At 39.3% G+C, this 21,262-nt stretch overlaps 1 protein-coding gene and 1 long non-coding RNA gene across 9 annotated transcripts in view, besides 1 other annotated feature; one reads left to right on the top strand and one right to left on the bottom strand.

Moving 5' to 3' along the window:
- CPNE4 (copine 4) overlaps positions 1 to 21,262 on the top strand; it is a 506,038-nt gene that overhangs the window by 23,582 nt on the left and 461,194 nt on the right. The window lies entirely within an intron of this gene.
- LOC124906288 (uncharacterized) lies at positions 9,694 to 18,003 on the bottom strand. Of its 2 annotated transcripts, none has more exons than XR_007096091.1 (3): positions 17,711 to 17,867; positions 16,160 to 16,245; positions 9,694 to 9,854 (listed from the first exon to the last, which is right to left on the bottom strand). It is a non-coding gene; the product is annotated as an uncharacterized LOC124906288 (long non-coding RNA). The 2 variants fall into 2 exon arrangements; XR_007096092.1 differs by lacking the exon at positions 9,694 to 9,854 and adding an exon at positions 14,472 to 14,921 and having other exon boundaries at positions 17,711 to 18,003.
- Positions 17,547 to 18,170: an enhancer, noted in NCBI's record as "NANOG hESC enhancer chr3:131716699-131717322 (GRCh37/hg19 assembly coordinates)". NCBI's record gives its function as "activates a minimal SCP1, AML or CMV promoter by ChIP-STARR-seq in naive H9 embryonic stem cells {active_cell/tissue: H9 hESC(naive)}" and the evidence as "EXISTENCE:reporter gene assay evidence [ECO:0000049][PMID:30033119]".

Here is a 21,262-nt window from a genome sequence, read left to right as displayed (position 1 = left end):
TATTTCACCTGTGTTTTTGGATGTTTTCATAGCAAATGTATGGTTATAAGCTGAAACCAATTCAAATCATATAGTTTCAATATCCCCAATCCATGGGGGATATTTTCAGGTGTCTGAGAAGCCCCAATTCTTGGTTTATGTCTGAATCTTTTATGGAAATGACTTGCATAAAATCCAGCTGAGATGCTGTGTTTTCAGCCTAGCTGTAGAAGTTGAAGATTCTGTTTATTCCCTCTGAGGCTGGCATTTCTCTGTGATTGTTCCATTTGATCCCTTCAATGGCTTAGCCTCATCAGCAGCATTGCTTGGGAGATATAGGTTGTTGAGGTCCCTCTGCTTGTGGCCTTTTGATTTTTGTCCTCGAGTAAAGAAAACAATCCTTTTATCAAATATTTGCCAGCTGCTTAGGATACACATTTCTTAATTGGTACGTTTTGACTGATTATTGAAAAGTTTACATTCTGACATCATATCGTATATGATATATGTGTTGGGTGTGTGTGTGTGTGAGTGTGTATGTCTAAGGAATTAGAAGAGAGGACTCTTTTTCCTTCTAAGGACAGCAGTTGATTCTTAGAGTCTATTGGAGCTTTCCTTCCCTTCTTTTATCAGGTGAAACTTGGTTGAAAGGGTTACCTTCTAGCAGAAAGGAAGGGGGAAGATATGCCTGCTGGTAAATGTAAGCCTCACTGTAAGCTCTCCTAGAATGCTGTTGTCAAAAGGAAATTTTGATATTATTTTATTTAACTCTCTGTGTTATAAATAAGAAAAACCTAAGCCCAGAGATGTGCAATAATTTGAGCCAATAAATAAGAAAAACCTAAGCCCAGAGATGTGCAATAATTTGAGCCAAATTATCTTTGCAGCAGATTAAAGATAAACCAGGATCAGAGTATAACTTCTTTGACTCTGAAATAATTAGATGCAGAGAATCTTTGTAACCTATTATAAAAATATGTTAGGCAAAGAATGCAATGATAAATAAATTATATATTTGAGCAGCAGAATAAATCAAACAGTTTTGTTCCATATTTCATTGGAAGTGATTTAACAGAAGTTTAAAAAGCTTTAAAAATAAGAGATAAAATTAATTTTAAGAATACAGAGATATTTTACAAAAATAATAGGATCCATTTTAAAATATTCTTGGTTAAACAAAAGTCAATTTTTTTCCACACGACTTTCTCCTAACATGATACAATGACTTTGGAAGTATATAATACTAAAATAATTAAAAGCTATCCTATTGCTCAAAAACATTAAATAACTATTTTTTGAATGACAGAAGCCAAGAACACAATATATTAGAAGACAATAGAAATATAACCCTCCTTATATACACCATGGAATGCAATTAAAACTATAATTAGACTACATTTTCTACTCCCAAATGTCAATGTTAAAAAGAACAAAGAGAGAGATTAAAATAGTGTATAGAATTTAAAACATTTTAACGGAAAAAGAAAGAAAAAGTAAAATGGAAATAATCTGGATACTGAGGAGGAAAAAATCAAGTGGTCTAATGAACAAAGTCATAATTTCTAGCCCAAGCTTGATGGTGCCTCTTTCTTTCCCTCCTCCTCCTCAGGCGACCCTAGCCCTTACCTCGGTCACTAGGAAAGTCAGGGTGCTTGTTCCCTGCCCTTCTCAGAAACAGGATCTTGGAGAGAGAGAGATGAGGAGTGGGGGTGGGAGGAGCATTCGGGGGGAGGAGTAGGCTGGCCCAGGGGTCATTTGTTCTACCCATGTCCCCTTAGGGAAGGCTCTGAGAGGGTGCTCCATTCCTGGCTGTAGGTATATTCCCAGGGCCTTCCAGCCTGCAGCTATTGAAGGAGGGGCTTTCTTTACAGAGCTGCAGACATGTCTTCCAAGACTCTTCACTGGCAGCTGCCACTCTTAGAGCTTAGCTGTGTTTAGGAGCCCTCAAGAAAGGGTAACATTCTCTACATCATGGGAGAGTGGAGCAGGAGGAGTTTACTGATAATTATGCACAATTTGGCTGAGCTTCAACTCAGACTTTGTTTGTTTTTTTCCCTCCTCTCAGAGTCACTACTGACAACCCCAAATACTTATTGATCACCTATATTGGTTGCATTATCGTAAGCAGCATTATACAGAAGTTAGGACCACAGGCTCTAGGGCTGGGATGCCTGAGTGCAAATCTGGGATCCACCACCTCTAGCTGCATTGTTTTGGGCAAGATATACAAACTCTTTGTGTCCCAGTGCCACTATTTGTCAATATGGAATAATAATAATACGAGTTCCCAGCTCATAGGTTGTTGTGAGGTTATTAAATGAGAAGGGACTTAAAACATTTTGAATAGTGCCTGGCACTGAATAATTATTCCCAAAATGTTAGCAATTATTATATTATTCTAAAATACTAGGCAAGGATGTAATAATATGAAGAAGTATAAAATGCCATCTTTACTTTGGAGGAATTATGGTCTAATCTGGGGAACTGAACATTTTTTAATTATGAAAAAAAGTTGACCTTGGGTTCTGATAATTAGCAAATGAAGAGTTGTGATGTCTGAAGATATATCATCATGACTTCCTGCTGCTGTCTATTGGTTACGGATGAGCAGAGGTTTCCTGTTCCCAATAAAGGGTAAAGCATGTGGTCAATGTAATGTCTTCCAGACCCTAGCCCTCTGAGAAATCTTCCTTGTGTTTTATTCACTCCTAAAAACAACAACAACAAAAACAAAATAAAACTTCCGGTTATTCAGGTTTAACTCAATGTAATTGCCTAAATAAATACAAGATACATGAATTCTTTTTATTTTCTTTTATTTTTGAGATGGAGTCTTGCTCTGTCACCCAGGCTGGAGTGCAATGGCGTGATCTTGGTTCACTGCAACCTCCGCCTCTGGGGTCCAAGTTATTCTCCTGCCTCAGCCTCCTGAGTAGCTGGGATTACAGGCGTCCACCCCTATGCCTGGCTAATTTTTGTATTTTTAGTAGAGATGGGGTTTCACCATGTTGGCCAGGCTGGTCTCGATCTCCTGACCTCAGCTGATCCACCCGCCTCAGCCTCCCAAAGTGCTGGGATTACAGGCATGAGCCACTGTGCCCAGCCAAGATACATGAATTCTTAAATATGCCGCTGTTATTAGGACCTTCTCTTTGGTGGTTGTCTTTTTAGTATCCTGAAGAAATGTAAAGGAGACCACCTGACTAGCAGACTCTTGGTTTATTAATGTCATAGTACTTAGACAGATGCCATGGAAGCTAGTGTTCGGATATATCTTAGAATGAAGCATCCATGCTCCAGGTAAGTCCCTTTTCTTACTGCATTACATCAATCTTCTCAGTTTAATTTTCTTGTCAGCTTAATGATGTCAAGGATAGAATCAGATGAAGGACTTCCCACCATTGCCATCTTACCTGCTAATTTCTATTTGCCCAGGAGCCTCTTGGTGGCTTTCACAACTTGTGTCTATAAGCTGAGCTCAGGTTCTGCCCACCCACACCCAGTACCACCTAGAGCAAGGATCAGCACACTGTGACCAAGGAGCCAAATCTAGTACCACCTTTTTATAAAGAAGGCTAGCTGGGTGCAGTGGCTCACACCTGTAATCCTAGCACTTTGGAAGGCCAAGGTGGTCAGATCAGTTGAAGCCAGGAGTTTGAGACCAACCTGGCCAACATAGTGAAACACCGTCTCTACTAAAATTACAAAAATTAGCCAGGTGTCGTGACACATGCCTGTAATTCTAGCTACTCAGGAGTTTGAGGCAGGAGAATCTCCTAAACCTGGGAGGCAGAGATTGCAGTGAGCGGAGATCGCACCACTGAACTCCGGCCTGGGTGACAGAGCGAGACTGTCTAAAAAAAAAAAAAAAACGAAAAAGCAAAAGAAAGCTTTACTGGAATACAAGGGTATAGACCCATGATTTTATATATTGCCTGTGGCTGCTTTTGTGCTACAATGGCAAAATTGAATAGTTGTGACAGGGACCATATGGGCCCCAAAGCCTAAAAAATGTACTATCTGTCCCTTTATAGAAAAAGTTTGCTGACCTGTGACCTAAAGATTAGACATGCCAGTCCCATAAAGGAACAGAAAGAAGTCTTCCCAAGGCAATACAGGGGGCAGAAATCACCAAGGTTCTACAGAAAAGGAAATTCAGAATATGAAAGGATAAGATAAGAGTAATAAGGTTGCCTGTAGAACAAAGGGGATGATGTGTTAACTGGAACACTTTTGACACAGGCTCCTGTTGCTTAAGCTGTGGTATATGTTTCTTCTAATCCCAATTGAAATTGTCCTTCATAATATGATTTCATCACAGAAGTCACATGCAGTATTACAGTAGTGAAAAATGTTATGAGTTGCTTTGAAATGAGGCCCTATTCTCTCATAGCTATTCTATGCTGGCTGTTTACAATTTCAGAACAAAACTGTCTTTTGGGGTTTGACTTTGCTTTCTTAAATGATGATTCTGAACTAGGCGATTAGGGTTTCCCCTTCTCCAGCTACTAGGGCCTCCTCATTTCTTTGCAGGTACTAGGTTTTTCTGGGCCACCAGCTATGTGTGAAATGTCTCTAAGGAATGTACATGTGGCAATTGTTTGCCATTCCCTTTCCATCATTAAAAGGGCCACAAGGAAAACTTAGCAACGGAGTGTGAAATCCAAGCTTTTTTACAAGGAATCCTGTGCAAGAGCTCAGGAGCTACTTGTTTTCCATATGTAGTTAATCCTGTCTGTGCAAAGAGGTTGTCAATCTGATCCCAGTTCTCTGCCAACTCGTTTTTGTGATTTTGAGCAAACCCCTTTCTAAAGCACAAGGGATCTATCTACTGTGGGCCTGAGCTCTGGGACTCTTCTTCTCAGCAGGCTGTTCACTTTGGCTCAAGAGTGCCTCCATCCATGTAGGGTGACTTTGCTAATTTGCACAAAGTCGCCCTATGGGCTAGCAGCAGGCCTATCCCTTCCCGTTTCTGAGCTTCAGTTTCCCCAGCTAAGAAAAACAGAGGAGATGGTTTCCAAGCTATTTTCTAGCCTTGGAGCTTTAATTTGGAGGTCCTTTGAGACAGTCTGTGCAGGTTGGGTAAGCAGCTGTCTTCATGCTGTGTGGTGCTCCCCTACTGGGGTGCCTTTGAAGCTATCAGGAAAAGCCATGTGCCAGGAAGTTCTTGGGGTTTGGAAAAAAGGGAGCTCTTGAGTTCCCCTAAGGACAGGACTCTAACAACTAGAAGTAACAGCATTAAGGCAGATATTGGCTATAAAGTGGGAGGAGGGGTGTCAGACCAAAGGCAGATGTGGCTATGTCTGGCCTGATTTTGCTCAGCTTTGGAGCAATGAAGAGAGTCACGGCCCCTCTGACTACATGCACTGTGAGAACATTTGCCTAAGTATCATGTATCGACAATCTTTTCTCCCTGACCGGGCCATCACTGGGGTTATGCCTGGCCACTGAAAATGGGGACCTGGACACAAGTGTCCAGATACCCAGGCTGAGCAAAGCAACAATAATAAATGTCAATTAGGTGCCCTGTGAGCTGTGAGTACATGATGGTGAGGCTCACATTGCAGGAGTCAAGGAACCCTCTAAAGAAAGAGGCCACGACTCAGCATTCTTGAGATTTCTGTCAAACTCAAGCTAAAATTTCCTCAGATTATTGAAGCGTTTGGTAGATTTCTCTTAAAAACCATATTTTGTTCGTTTTTCCTCCCACTTTGTTGGACCATAATAATCAGTGCTTGGTTATTTGTAGCTGTGTGTAGAGAGGGTGCTAAATGCTTTCTTGTCATCCCATGTAATTTAAACTTCACGCCAGGTTAGGTGTAGCTGGTTCTGTCTGCATTTGGCCAAAGAGGAAACTGAGATTCACTGAAGTTAGGCAATCTGCCCAAGGCCATAGAGCTAGAAAGTTCTGCACCTAAGATTTAAACTCGGAACTTATAGCCAGGTGATAGTACTTTTCAAAGACACGCCCCATGCCTCCCTATACTACCTTGAATGTGGCTAATTTAATTGCTAGTGCAATGAGGCTGCAGGCAAAGAGGGCACTTCCTTATCTGTTTAGAGTTAACATAACCCAAGGGTTCTCAACTTCAGCATGATTGACATTTTGGGCCCTAGAATCATTTGTGTGGCTATCCTGTGCATTATAGGAAGTTTAGTAGCATCCCTGACCTTTACTTACTTGGTCCTAATAGCAGCTTCCCCATCTTTTCCCAACTCAGTTGTTAACAACTTAAAATATCTCCAGGCTTTGCCAAATACCCCCAGGGGACAAAATTAGTCCTGATTAAGTGAGAGTTACTTACATAACTAAATGTTTACCTGCCACTAAAGAAGAAATCTCTGCATACATAATTTTTTCCACTGGCTCTTCTTTTTCTCCTCTTTTGTACAAAAATTCTGTTATGAATGACCTGGGTCATTCTCCCTGCCTGACTGACATCCTGGAGTGTGTCATTGAAAACCTTCACCTTGCTGGCATCTTCCCAAATTTCTCAGACACCCTCTCTTTGAACCTGGAGCTTCCTGGGGAAGTATTAAGAGCCAACCAGCTATGAAAACAATGTGCTCTTCCCTGTGCTAAGTGCCTCTTCTTAGGCAGTAAAATGCTTCAGTGGTATGAACATATGGCATCAACATGGCCTCTGAAAACCATGCTGGGTGTTTAACAAGCATGGAGGGATGGGGACAGGCTGTGATGAGCTCTGGAGGCTTACAGAACAGGACCTCCCCTCCCCCAGGAGCAGAGGTTCCTCAGGGATCTTGACTCCACATAGACCAAGGCTTTGTGGGAAAGAGAGCTAGTGCCTTGAAGCTATTGCATTTTTTTCCTTTAATAAAACACCCTGCAGACCCTGACATATGCCACAGACAGAGACAGAGCAGCCATGTGACCCAGTGCCAGCTCTTACCTCTGACTCCAGACAGGCATTCTGCTGAAGTCCACCTTCTATTAGGTAAGAGGATGTGGGCAGCTCCGCAGTGACCCACTGCATTCTGTGTGCATACCCTCCCTCCTGAGGGCAGGGCCCATCAACTTTGAGAGTTATAGGCCAAAATAAACAGCCCGGAGCATTGGTCACAGAGCAGGTTTTAAGGCTGCTCAGCAGCCTGGTTTAATAATCCCAGGATGCAAAAGGCTAGAAGGATCACTGGCATATTTTTCTAGAAAAGTGGACTGCCTGTGAATTTTTATAATAATGCTTAGAGTGAGACATCTCCTTCTTGAGTGATATCATCAATATGATGTATTGATAATGAATATTTTTATGGGATTTTTTTAAGAAAAAAAAACATAAGTTTTTGGAGCTAAATAAAACCACCAGGAAAAAATCATTAGAAGTTTAGGGAGCTCTTCTTCATAAAAGAATTTATGGGCATATCTGACTGAACCCATAGCTGACAGTGTAAAATGTACACGTCTGTGCACATTCATGCCCATGTGCACAAATGTGCACATATACTCTTTTCTTCATATGGAAACATCATGGGGCTTCTGGCCAGATGAACCTGTTTAAATTCCAGCTCAGTCACTTCCTGCATGTAAAGCATGGATGAGTTGCTTAAGGTCTCTGAGCTTGTTTCCTTGTCCTTAAAATAGGAATAATAGCTATATTATGGCATTGTGATTAAGGTTAGAAATAATGTATTAGAAGTTGCAAAACATGGAAGGTACTTGATAAATGATATTATTTTTATCAACACAATATCTTCATATGAACCTTAAATAAAACAGATACCAAGTCTGCTCTAGAATTGATATTTTTAGATTACTCTTCAACAGTTAGGTTGTTACACCTAATATTTACTCCATTTCACTCGAGACTGGGTGTGGGTATTTTTTTCATTTTGTATACCTTCATTCAATCCTCATTCAATAAGAAATAATAAGTCATATTCCAAGAAACTGAATCATTCCCATATAACATCTTCAAGACTCCAGCTTTTCATTCGTTCCACATTTATTAGCACCTACTGTGTACCAGACACTGATCTAGGGACTGGGAATTCCACAGTGAAAACAGAGACAAAACCCCCTGCTTTCCAGGAGGTTACATGCACAATGTATTCCAGCCATGCCTCCAACAAAGAAATGTGCCATTCAAATTGGAGCTATCCATTGTGAACAAACTTTGTGCCACACTCTGTGCTGATTGCTTAGGGAAGACGGGTGCAGTGATGAACAGAAACCCTGGAATATGGCAATGATGGTGGGTGTGTTGGGTAAGTGACACATGAGCAAGTGACTGTGAGACAGAAAATACAAAATCATGACAGGTGTCATGGCAATCCAAGAATTGATTTAGAATAAATTTATGATGAATAATTCATTAAGGCTTACTAAGGAAAGTTGAATACAGTGCTTGGAAACATAGCATGTGAATGTTTTAATGAATGAACTGTTGAATGAAAAAAAAAAAGGGCTGCTGTGTATGGTTGTGCAGGTTTCACATGGCACAACTCCAAGGCATACCATTTAAATTGTGGAGATAGTCAACGTGCAACTTACACGTGCAGCAACTCTGCCAAACATTTCACACACACGTCTCATTTAATACTTCCAACAATTTAATACTTACGTCGTGTTTTCTTCATTTTGCAAGCATGGAGTTGGGGATTCAGTGAGGTTCATAAAGTGAGTCAGTAGGGGTACTCTTACTTGGCATGCAGACATGTCTGACTCCAGAGTTGCTGCTTGGAGAATAGGAGAAAACAGTCCCTTGAAGATTAAACTTGATAATTTGAGTCACGTCTCATCTTTGAACTAAATGCTTAGGTTTCTGGGGTCAAAAAGAAGTGAAGACAGGGAAATGATTACTTTTCCAGATTTTGGGCTTCAAGTCATGAACTCTGTAAGACCCTTGCCCTGTTTTCTGTTACTAGAACAACATCATACTCTTAGCTCTTCTTCCTCATTTCTTCAAGAGAAGAATGGATCATACATTCTAGAAAAATCCACCTGGTAGAGGTGCCGAGCACATCACAGTCATCATTAACAAAAAATAAAGGATAACAGCCCTGGACCAGCAGAAATGAGCAGCTGTCATTGTAGGAGCTTTTATTATAGCAGAGGCTCAGCTTCTCAGCAGGGGAATTACATCCAACTCTGATGTGCTGTTTCTTTTAGAACTCATTTTTGATATCATTCCATTCTTGAATCAGCAGCAAATGAGATAATACAGTATCAGGTTGGTGTCTTCTCACATCTAGTTAATTGTGAAATAACAAATCCTGCTCCACACTGCCCCTTTGCGGTCTGGGCACGTCATGCCCCATTGTGACCTTGGAAATCCAGTTACTTCTGATTGCTCATTGCTTCTCAAGGCAATTTATTTCTCAATCAACTTTTTAACACAACAGCTCAGCCCAGAGAACAACAACAAAAAAAAATGGAAAGAAAGGTTTATGTCAGGTTAAAGAAATATTGTGGATAACAATGAACACAATTTTATAGTTTCAGGCAACAGAAGATTTCGAGTTGTATGATTTTGGAAGAGGAATGCAGCAGACCTGATTTGGAAACATCTTGCTTGTTATGCTGTAAACTTCTCTCAAAATGTCACAGTCTGTAGATACTTAGAGAGAGCCTAAGTTGTAAACAGGCTTTGCTTCTTCTATGCTGTTCATTTTTCTTAAGGCAAGCGGGGGAGGAGTAAGAAAGATTCCTATTTTCAAGTTATATGCTTGATTTCTTCGCAATGACCCTAAGAGGAAGAAATTATTATCTCAATTTTATTGATGAGGAAACTGAACTCTTCAGATGTCCTATGGCCCATGGTGGTGTGTCCAGGTTCTTCATCTCTGGATTGACTCCTGCATAGCCATGCTTTTTCCATGATATCATATATTTTGACAGTCAGTGAGGGGCCACTTTCCTTAAATAGAAGGAGGAACAAGTTCTGTGTTAGTAATGGTAATATCCCCTGCAGGTAAATAAAACAACAACAATACGTTGAGATCAGTGAGTGATTACTCTTTGTCAGATGGTGTACTGGATGTTATATTCTCACAGAACTGCAGCAAGGAAGATGCTGTTTTCCTGCCCATTTGACAGCTGATGATGTTGAAGCTCAGAGATGTTAATAACCTCCCCAGGGTCATACGGCTGTTAAAAGTACCCTAATCTTTGTAGTATTATGTTTTGTTTTCTCTGTTAGACTTCAAACTTCCAGGAGGCAAGGACTGTTTCTTATTACAATTCACCCTTGAACAATATGGGTTTGAACTGTGAGGGCTTTTAGAAGTGGATTTTTTTTTTCAATTAAATGCAGGATGCAAAACCTGCATATATGGAGGGCTGTCTTTTTTATACGTAGGTTCCAGAGGACCCACTGGGAAACTTGGGTATGTGTGGATTTGGGTATATGTGGGGGTCCTGGAACCAATCTCCTGAAAATACTGGGGAATGACTATAATTTCCTTATCCTGAAAACCCCCTGCAAAGTGGTTTCCCTGTGGTAGGTCCTTAGTAAACACTTGAATAGATGAATGTCAGCTGGTCCTGAATTCTGCCCTCCCTCATGCTTTTGGTCCCTTCACACATGTTGACCAATCCTGTATAATCAGGTGAACAGATGGAGAAAAAGGATGTGTTAGTAGATTGTTGTCTTCCTTTTGTAAAGTATAGTAGCCTATAGCTATTATATATATATGATAGAAATATAAACATATATGTGTGTGTGTGTGTGTGTGTGTGTGTGTGTATATATATATATATATATATATATATATGTAAAAATGGCACATTCATTGTTTTGTTGTTTTTTGGTGACTATTAGGATAGGATAGGTCATGCTAACTTGACAGATAATCCCAGTGGCTTAATATAATTGAGTGGCTCTCCAGGGCAATTGTCCTCTGGTATGAGTGGTTCAAGAGACTGCCTTGATCTTTGGCTTTGCCATTTCAAAACAAGGCTTTCTTCATAGTCACCACAGAGAGCAACTGGGTGCTGTTTCTGTTTTATACCTGTCATTGAAGAGCCACACATCAGTTCTGGTCACATCTTATTGGCTGAAATTAGTCACATGGCCCCAGTAGTCCACTAATAAGGTGGAAAAGAGGAATTATCTTTTGCGCCCAGAAGGAGAGAAAAATGGATGTAAGTGAGCCCAAAAGAATCTATTCTAGTGGTGTTGGTCCTTTATTTTTTTTCTACCTCTGAGTTATAGAAAGGATTTGAGGTAATGGCTATACTAACATGAGATTTCTTCAGAATAGCTTCATGGTCTTGCAGTTCCACTGGGAATGTGCTATTACATTCGTTTCCAAATGCTTAACCATAGTGGCTCATGTCCAACTCTGGCTATTTGAAATTTCTTGATGTTGGTTATACCAGTAGCTGTAGTTTTTTAAGGGTAACATATTTCCTGTAAACCATCAGGAATGTTTTAGTTCAGGAAATTGTTTCATTTTCTTTCTTAATACTGTTTCACAGGCTAGCTTAACTTGAGTTCTTGCTTTTTTTTAATGTCAGTGTGAAAACCTTTTTCATCAGATTGTTAAAATCTTCACAATACAATGCTAAGTAAACTTAGCAGAATATAAAACTATATCCATTATGATCCCAAATTTCTCTGTCTTTCTGAAAATTGTTGTCTGCATCTTTCTGTCTCTGTCTCTCCACATGTACATACACACATATGCAGACATACATGCATCCTATACTGGAAATTAATACACCAAAATATTAATATCAGTTATCTCTGAGCTTAAGGGTTATCTTGATTTTCTTCTCTATATGCTTTCCTAAATTTAAAAAATATACCGAAAAATGCACTTTTGTTTTGCTTAGGTGTGTTATAATCAGAAGATACATTTTATATAGACATAGATATAGAATGGATTTTTTAAAGTATCTATTTTTTTTTGTAATTTTCACAGAAGAGAATTAAATGATGCTCATTTTAGATTACTTACCTGCTTTGTTGCCTTTTTGAAGCCATTTAGAACTTGGAGACAATGCTGACAGAAGGGTGTGGAGAGCAGGATAGGAGGGAGATGCCATTCAGAGAGGAGGAGACCATCATTTCCATCATGAAATCCAATTTAATCAGGGTCAGCCAGCCCCTGCATTGCTCTCCCCTTCTACTCTTTCAGGTTAGTTAATTTGGGGGCATCTTCTGATGAATGCCATCTTGCAATTAAAATGCTGATGCCGGCAAGTTTCAGCATCTCAGCTTCCATGGCCCCTAGCTGTCAGCAGCCTTGTCTTTTTAATCAGGATCTATATTGCTCCCTCCTATCAAGTAACTTTTTACTTTCCCAGATCCCAATAAACTTGGATGGAGAAGAGAGACATCAGCTGAATTTTAATTTAATCATTTGCTTCAGGAAGCATACTAAAAAGATGGCATTATGATGGTTTGTGTAATATAATTCAAGGACAGTGTGCTTGTTGAGGTCTTACTCCCACTGACTCCTCACCCATTGTAGAGCCAGGGTGAGCAGAAGGTCTGTCACCCAGAAGCAGGTGGTGAAGATGGCTTTTCATAGAAGTAGTAGAGAGAGAAGGGCCCTCAGCTGTCAAGGGCATCACACACCTGCTCTCTGAATCATGAGAGGAAGGACATCAGAGGTCTACTAGACTGCTCCTCAGGAATAAATTATCTAGGCAAGGTCCTGGGGTCAGCAGAGGGTGAGTAGACTGGTGGGGGCTTTGTGGAAAAGCTGATTAGACCTACAGCTTAAAGCCTCTCTGAAAAGAGAGCATCATCTAAAATAAGCTGAGGAGTTCCTCTCTGTGACAAATAACCCTGTCCTCCCTCACTTGTCCCCTTAACTGCATAGTTTTGCTAAAGAGGCAGCCATGATGTCATCTATGTGATCCATGTCAATTCACATGCATATGAATGTAGTGTGTACATTCAATGCATACGCAAGCCATATCAGCTTATATCTGCCAATGATGAGCAAACAAGCAGATTGTGTCTGTGACAATGTGTTTCATTCAGAACTCACAGTTAATTCATTTAACTCTGTTTTTCTTGTACCCTAAAGTGCATATGAATCATCTGGAGATCTTGTTAAAATGCAAATTCTGACTCAGTAGGTCTGGAATGGGGCCTGAGATTCTGCATTTCTACTCAGGTTCCAGGTAATGCTGAGGCTGCTGATCTAAGGACCACACTTTCAGTAGTAAGGACTTAACTGACAGCTGTTGTCTTCATTGGGATCATCAGCCTATCAGAAGGGATAGGCTTGGCAAAGTTTGGCTTTTTGATCCATTCTTCTATTTAAATTTTTACTTATTACAAAGGATACTTGTTTAAATATGCACTTTGATATGTAAATAACTCTTAAAAGAATTGACTCATGGGTTTTTTGTTTTTGTTTTTGCTTTTTATACCAAGAACAGAAATGTCCAAATGGACACCATCAACTGATTTTCTGTAGATGCAGATGTAACAGAAACACGCCTCCTCACATAAATCCTGCGTCATATTTTCACAAACTGCAAACTTCCTGAGGACAAGTGTCAATGCTTCAGGCAGACAAATGCTTAATAAAGACTTTCTTGTCATTCTTCACATTCTTTTAGTGCTACCTTTTTGGATAAACTTGGGAAAAAAGAAGAAATGTATTTGAGTAAGATGTGGCAAGAAAAATTAGAGAAAATCCTCTGGAACTTCACTGCCTTGTATTCTTCTTGAAATCAGAGTTCAACTCCTTACAAGAGTTTCATAAAAGTGACAAGTCAGCAACACATTAATGAGAGCCTTAGTTCCTGTCACTGGCCTTTTCTTCTTCTGAGGCTTTCTGCCAAGACATGGGTTTAATTTAATATCTCCATCTCTGCAGCAATTGGTCTTTGACCTTTGAGATTATTCTGAATGCCATGGTGTACTATTGAGATGATAAATGGGGCACATAAGGGGACTCAAGTAAGCAGACATGGGGGCTATCACCATAGTGGGTGTGGGTGCCAGAGGTGATGATAAGATTGGCAGCCTAACAGATTTTTATTAGCTGGCGCTACTGGGTCTGTGATGATATCATCCTTCGGAAAGGAGCCTGGGACTCACTGGGAACAACATAACCTGGTTAAGGAAAATAAAAATGTTTGGAAAGGATCATAAATAGGAAAAAAACACAAAACCCCTACTCAACAGCAGCTGATCTAGGGAAGTTGGAAAAGAAATTTTGTTGTATATTGGTTACCAGAATTAATGTCAAATGATTTATTACACTGAGCAAAGCTTAAAAAGCTACTGTAATTTGGAGGGACTCAGTGGATATGGATTTTGACCTTAATTCAGCCCTTTAGTCTCCGGATATTCTCCTTATTTGTGGGGTGGATAGAAAGAGAAAGGCTGAAGGGCCATCTTTTATTCACCTCATGCAGACATGAAGAATCTGTAAGAATTGTTGCTTTGAATCGAATACTTAGTATGGATGGAATTCTTTTTTTCTCCTCTTCCTCTTCATTTTCTTTCTTTCTTTCTTTCTTTCTTTCTTTCTTTCTTTCTTTCTTTCTTTCTTTCTTTCTTTCTCTTTTTTCTTTGTCTCTTTCTTTCTCTCTCTCTCTCTCACAATTACAAGACTCCTGGCATTTCTTACAGTCCATAACAGCAGGCTTTGAGTTTTTTTGTGATGCATTTGTATGGTCCATTTGTAGCCAGCCAGATTTCCTTTATCATTTCATTTGTCATATATTGATTGAAACAGCAACCTTCCTGACATTATGTACTCATCATACTTGGGTAAGAGTTATTCTTTGCCCCTTCATGGAAGTGTTTTATTTTGGTTCTTCTGAATTAAGATTACTCATAATCCTCATCTGTTCGAATAAAGTAATCTTTTGGTTGACCTAGCTGACCTTCTGTTCTCTAGCCAGCAAAGGAAATCATTTGTTAGTCAGGATTTCCTTTAATTTGCCTTGCTTTTTTGATCAGTGATAATATTCAGATCTTTCTCCTTTTCCCTCCTTGTAACTCTTGCATCTACAATATGAAGAGTAGAGAGACCAAAATTGGACATTAAAACAACTTAAACAACTTTGTTTTGACATGGTCTTGACTGGTTTTGTTGAGGGCTTGTTCTGAGTGGATCTAGGCAAGCTTCTTAACATTTCTGTGCCTTAGTTTTCTCATCTGTAAAATGTGATTGATTCTAGTACACAGCCCACACGATTGACGATTGTGGATATTAAGGGAGATATAATGTATTATCCATTTTCCTTCCTTTTTTTTTTTTTTTAAGAAACATGGTCTCACTCCATTGCTCAGGCTGAAGGGCAATGGTGTGATGATAGTGCATTGTATTATTCATTTTTTGATGTCTCTTTAATGTATTTAAAATGCTACTGTTTTAAGACTTTTGTAGTTGTTTATTCTGTCTGCCTGCAATGCTTTTCTCATGATACCCAAATTGTCAGCTCTCTAATTCCTTTGGGTTTTTTACCCAAGAATTTTCTTCTCAATGAGAATTTCCCTTTTCTAAAATTTTGTCTCTTCCTTAACACTTTATGGCCTTCTTCCTTGCTTTATTGTTTGTCCTTAACGTTTACTAGTAACTAATAAATTTGATATTTTATTTATTTATTATTTATTTTATTATTTATTGTTTATCGACTGTTACTTCCTCTCCCCACAAGTAGATCATGAGGTCAAGAAATTTTGTGCTCTGTTTTATTCCTAGCACCTGGGGATAACATAAATATTTGTTAAATTAATGCAATGTGCTTAGCACAGCTTAGCACATAGTAAGTACTTGTTAAGCACCACATTGTGACTGGGAGAACTTATAACACCTTCCCTCCATTTAGTATCTAAATTCTATAGCTGAATCCAAATTTGTCTATCTTTCTGGGCCCATTCAGCATTATTCTTGACAGGGTCTTCCTTCCTTAAATCCCATTTTTATGATAGCATTATCTTTTTATCTATCCTATCTTGTTCTCTGATTAGTTCATATGAGTTGGTCCGATCTTCCCAACTATTTTTGCAAGCTTCTTGTTAGCAGGAATAAATGACTCAGACTTTTTTTTTTTTGCCTATTTCCTTCAGTATAGGGGCACAGTAGATGTACATTGAATGTTGTTGCTAAATCAATCTGCATCAAGAAAATGTTAAATGACTACAGGATTTATCATTTAATTAACTAGAAACCATATAAACAATTGAATGGAGGAAAAGAAATAATCATTTTTAATGAAAAACATGCAGTAAAATGCATTTACCTGTGTGAATTATTTGCCCAGTACTTGTCTCCATCACATTAGTATGCTCTAGCTGCACTAGCCTTCTTTTCTTTTCCAAAGTTTTACTATGAAAAAAATTTGAATGTGAAAAGTTTAAAGGATTTTACAGTAATCCTTTAAACCAGTGCCAGTTCTACCACTAAAATTTTAAATCAATTGCTTTATCATATCATATATCTCTCCATCTACCCACCCTGTTATCTATTAATCCATCATATATTTTGGTGCATTTCAAAGCAAATTGCAGACATCAATACATTTCTCCTTAATTATATCAGTATATATTGAAATAGAGCTTAATATTGCAACAATCTTTCTGATTCTTTTCCAGCATAGAATTATTTTGCCTGTTTTAGAACTTCATATAAATGGAAACATATAGTATGTACTCTCTTTTGCATAAGGCTCATTCACTAAATAGTATTCTTGAGATTCATCTATGTTACTGCATGCTTATTCCTTTGAATTGCTAGATTGTATTCCATGGCATGGATGATCCCCAGTTAGTTTGTCCTTGCACCACTTGATGGATATTATAAATAAGGCTGCTATTCATACACATTTGTGTACAGAGGCTATCTTTTTTTTTTTTTTTTTTTTTTTACCTTGGATAAATACCTATAATTGAGATTTCTGAGACAGAGGGTGCACTGCCCTTCGTTTTTCTCCTCAAACATACCAAACTTTTCCCTGCATTACACTACTCTGCACTAGTTCTTTCTTTTGTCCGGAATGCTATTTTCTGTGTATGAAATACTATTGCCCCTTATTATCATGTAACTGCCTCTTTCATGCCCCTCAAATCTTAGCCTCCCCTGCCCACCCATTCTAAAGTAATCACAGTCCCTCTTAAGCATGTGACTCTGTGTTAATTAGCTGCATAGCATTTCTCATCATCCGGTAATTTTGTTTTCACTCATTATAATATAAGCTAGAGATAGGACCTGTTTACTACTATCGTTCCATAATCCAAAATGGTATACAATAGCTAGTTTTAAACAGCCTAGACTATTCTGTGGTGAAAAATAGCATAATATGTAGTAGGTACTCAATAATCATGGGATAAGGAAGCAAATAAAGAATGAACAAATAAAATCTCAATGGCTAAAACCTTACCCATCTTTTCATTTCTGTATCCTCAGTACCCAACACTAGTAAATGCCCACTATGAATTTGAGAGATGAATAAATAGGAACAGTTTCTCAGTGGGTCAGAAACACTTAAGAAAATGCAACTCTGAAAAATGTTTTCTTTCCTGTCTTGTCATGTGAAGGCAGTTAATCCAATTCCTCAAACACGTTCAATACCTGGGTTAAAATGGGTCACAGCTGGGGATTCGCAGCATCCATCCTACATGGCTTGATGTTCAGAGAGAAATTGCTAGAGGCAAACTGGAAAACATTTTTAAGCTCGTGTGAACAGACTGGCTCATTAATCTGCTGTTTAGTGGTGCTAAAATGTGTTCCTGTAGATTAGTTTTCTGGTAGTCATTCTAATTAAGGAGGTAAGGTTGAAGGAAGAAACCCTTACCTTACAGGATAGTTAGTACACACGTGGGATCAGCAATTGGCCATGGTTTTCTTGTCTTGCTCATGGATTGTTATCCAGGATGCCTGCAGCTGCATCATCAGGGGATCTTTGAGGTTCAAGGGTAGGAAACTTTAGCATTTCTATGCCTTTAAAATTCCTGGTGTGGTAGAGAGGGAAAAGAGAGAAAGAATGCCTCATGATATCTACATCCAGGTCCTTCCTTTCTCAATCTAGCTAAATGCTATGGTTTGAATCTGTCCCCCAAAGTTCATGTGTTGGAAACTTAATCCCCAATGCAACAGTGTTGGGAGGTGGGGCCTAAGAAGAGGTGATGAAGTCATAAGGGCTCTGCCCTCTTCAATGGATCAATGTCATTATCATGGAAGCAGGCAATTATAAGAGAGTTCAGCCCTCATGAAACAGCATTTTCATTATGCCACTCTCCGACTCAAAAACTTTCTACCTTTCTCTGCTGCTTGCAAGATCATGTTAACACTGCAGCCTGGCATTCAAGTACCTGCCAAATCTGGCCGCTTTGTTGCCATCAATCTAAGTTTTTAAATGTTCATACCTGTGACCATGCTGAGCATTCCACCTAAAATGTCTTTCCCATACCTATAAAAATGTTCTCCATATTGCACCTAATAAAAGAAGCTCTGGTTCTTGACTACAACAAAAGATATGAGGCTGTACATTAGTTACATTAATACTACCAATGGATTCGTGAACCTACTCTTATCTGTAAAATATATCTCTTTTTCTCTCTTCTAGGCCAGCCCTTTCATTTTATTCACATAAAGAAAAACGAGGAACAGAGAAATTTATGGGCTTGATCAACATCACATAGCTTCCAGATAGCAGAGCCAGGACTAAGGAAAACTAACTGAATATTAGATACTGAATCCTTAAGTAGACCATTTCTCAGGAGTCCCCTTTTTGTTGCTGCTTGTAGCATTAACCGTCTTCAGCTGTGTGAAGACCAGTCTCTACAGTGGGGAGGAGATGGAACTATTTGGGCTGAAGCTGGCCTGCAAAATTTGTTTCTGTGTTTAGGATAACAGCAGCTGTTGGAATGACTGAAAATTGAATTCTGGAGTGGTCTGCCCTTTCCATTATTGGTTACAAATAGACTTTTAATATCCTGGGAAGTAATTTAGAAAGTTGCAGAGATGCTGTAATCTATGGGCCTTTATATGACTATAGGTTATATCAAAACTATGGTGGAGAGAGGAACTTTTACTATACCTGAGTTAGGGGGAGGTGTTTCCAGTAATAATGCAAGTGCTAGCATTTATATGGCCCCTCCACTCCAGGCCTGTTGTTATATTATTATTTCCATGTAAGAGTTCTCAGTGTTGTCCAGTCATTCTCATTGATATGTAGGTCCTCATAATTCTTAAAGCAGATGTTCTGTACATTTTGGACTGTTTCAAAAATGCTGGTGCAAACTTTCTAGGTCTCCTGAAACTCTGGACTGCTCCATTTCTGGAAAGAAAGGCTCTTTTTCAAAGCAATATGGCCATTCCCTCATTATCCTCTCCTAACTCAGAAATCAGAACACGCCGTACAGAACTATGACAATGAAATCCCATGAGCCTGAGGATTCCACAGACACTATAGACCTATGCTGTAGCTCATAACCTGTCAGGAGAATCTGATCCAATCACATCTGGACTTTGCAACTAGATGATATCTAAGTGGAGGGACCAGATGAGTGCTGGACTGCATTAAGTACCGTCACTGCTGCTCCGCTAGGCTTGGTGGTGTGAGGATTTTCTTCTGTTCCTATCGTGGACTCTCTCTCCCCTTTCTCTCTTTTTTTTATTATTTTCTCCATTTTACTCTGACATTATTGAGTGTCTCCTTCTAGTTCTCATCTTTCTCTGCCTTCACTGTGGGCAATGACTCTTTTCCCTCCTACTTGTTGACTTTTTCATCTCCAGCTTTTCTGCCTTCCTGCCTGAGTTCACTTTATTTTTAATAGAGTTTCTCCCCTGGTTCTCTTCTTTCTCCTCCTACTCTCCATGTTCTTCCACAATCCCCCAGCTATAAATTACCCAAGGCATCCAACCTTTTGCTCTCATGGAGAAATGAATAATTAAATCTCCAAAGGAAGACACGTGGATTAAATCAGGCACTTAATTTCTTCAAAACACAGACAGCATTTTATCGTGTCCTGTGCAAATGGATGAGTCACAGCCAATTACTTCAAGAGGGAAGAAAGCTGAGGTTTGGCTTGATCAACAGCATATATTTTTTTAAATGGATTGTGCTAGTGAATGTCAGATATTGCACAGGAATGACACTTCTAAATTCAGTAGCATGAGCCATGGAGTCCTAACTGTGATGCATGTGATAGTGATAGAGTTTACTGACCAAGGGGTGTTGGTCATTTCTTTGATATAATGAAATACTGCAAGTTCGGAGCTCTTCCTTGCTAAATATGCTGCAGTGGCAATTCATTTGTTAGAAATCATCTGGTTGACAAACCAGGGAATAGAGATTCTCTTAGGGACCACATCGAGATAATAGACTTGTGAGACTTGAGTAGTAAGTGCTCAGAAAGTAGTCATCATGTACTATGTAGATGATTTCTCAGGAATAGGTAGTCCATGAAGGAGGTTGGGAAGATTCCCATGATGTCAACTGCTAGGCAGTCGCCAGGCTAAATGGTTCCCTCTGGCTTTCTTCATTTTACTGGCTTTCAGGCTTTCCAAGTACTGGCTGGTTTGCTTTCAGAGTGGTCTCATTTCATGGTGTCTTTTCTCACACTGAGGCATCTTGCTCAGGTAGTGGCCGAGTAAGTACAGGTGTCAGGATCTGCTCTCATGGTCGGATGCAATGTTTTGTGAATGGAGTTCCTGAAGAAAAGTGAAGAAGCATTATAAACTTGGATACTGGGAAGCAAAAGGCCTCCACAGAACCTTGAAGGGGGGTTATCTTTTAGAGACACATGAGAAAAGGCCTGGATACTGGAGTTAGAAAGAATAAACATACACAAACTTAAAGAGATAATGATAATATTATAGAAATATCTAAGTCCTGGCTCAACCCATGAAATAGCTATGTGTTGGAACTTCCTTAAATGAACAGGTGTGTGAGTGTGTGAGAGTGTGTGTGTTTGTGTGTGTGAATTCTGATTTGAGAACAGATAAAATTAAAACTCTACAGCTGGGCATGGTGGCTCATGCCAGCATTTTGGGAGGCAGGGGTTGGAGGATCGCTTGAGCCCAGGAGTTTGGGACCAGCCTGGGCAATATAGCAAGATCCCCTCTCTACAGAAACAAACAAACAAACAACAAGACCCTTTATGTTACCTCCTAGAGGTAGGAGTCAAGGAAGAGAGGCACCTTAAAAGTTGAACAGGAAAGAGAGCAATACATTTTTATTAAAAAATTGTTTGGCATAGCAAGGATTCAAGACCCTGTCTCTAAAAGGAAAAAAGTATTTGGAAGCATATGCTTTTGGTTACTTCTCTTTTAACATTGATTAAATGCTTTTCTGTACAAGTGACAGTCTCATTATAGAAAAGGTTTTTAAAAATCTGTTTTA

Source organism: Homo sapiens, chromosome 3 (genome assembly GCF_000001405.40).
Source record: "Homo sapiens chromosome 3, GRCh38.p14 Primary Assembly".
Taxonomy (NCBI): Eukaryota; Metazoa; Chordata; class Mammalia; order Primates; family Hominidae; genus Homo; species Homo sapiens.
The sequence above is the reverse complement of the archived record's forward strand: the minus strand, read 5'-3'. Positions and strand labels throughout refer to the sequence as shown.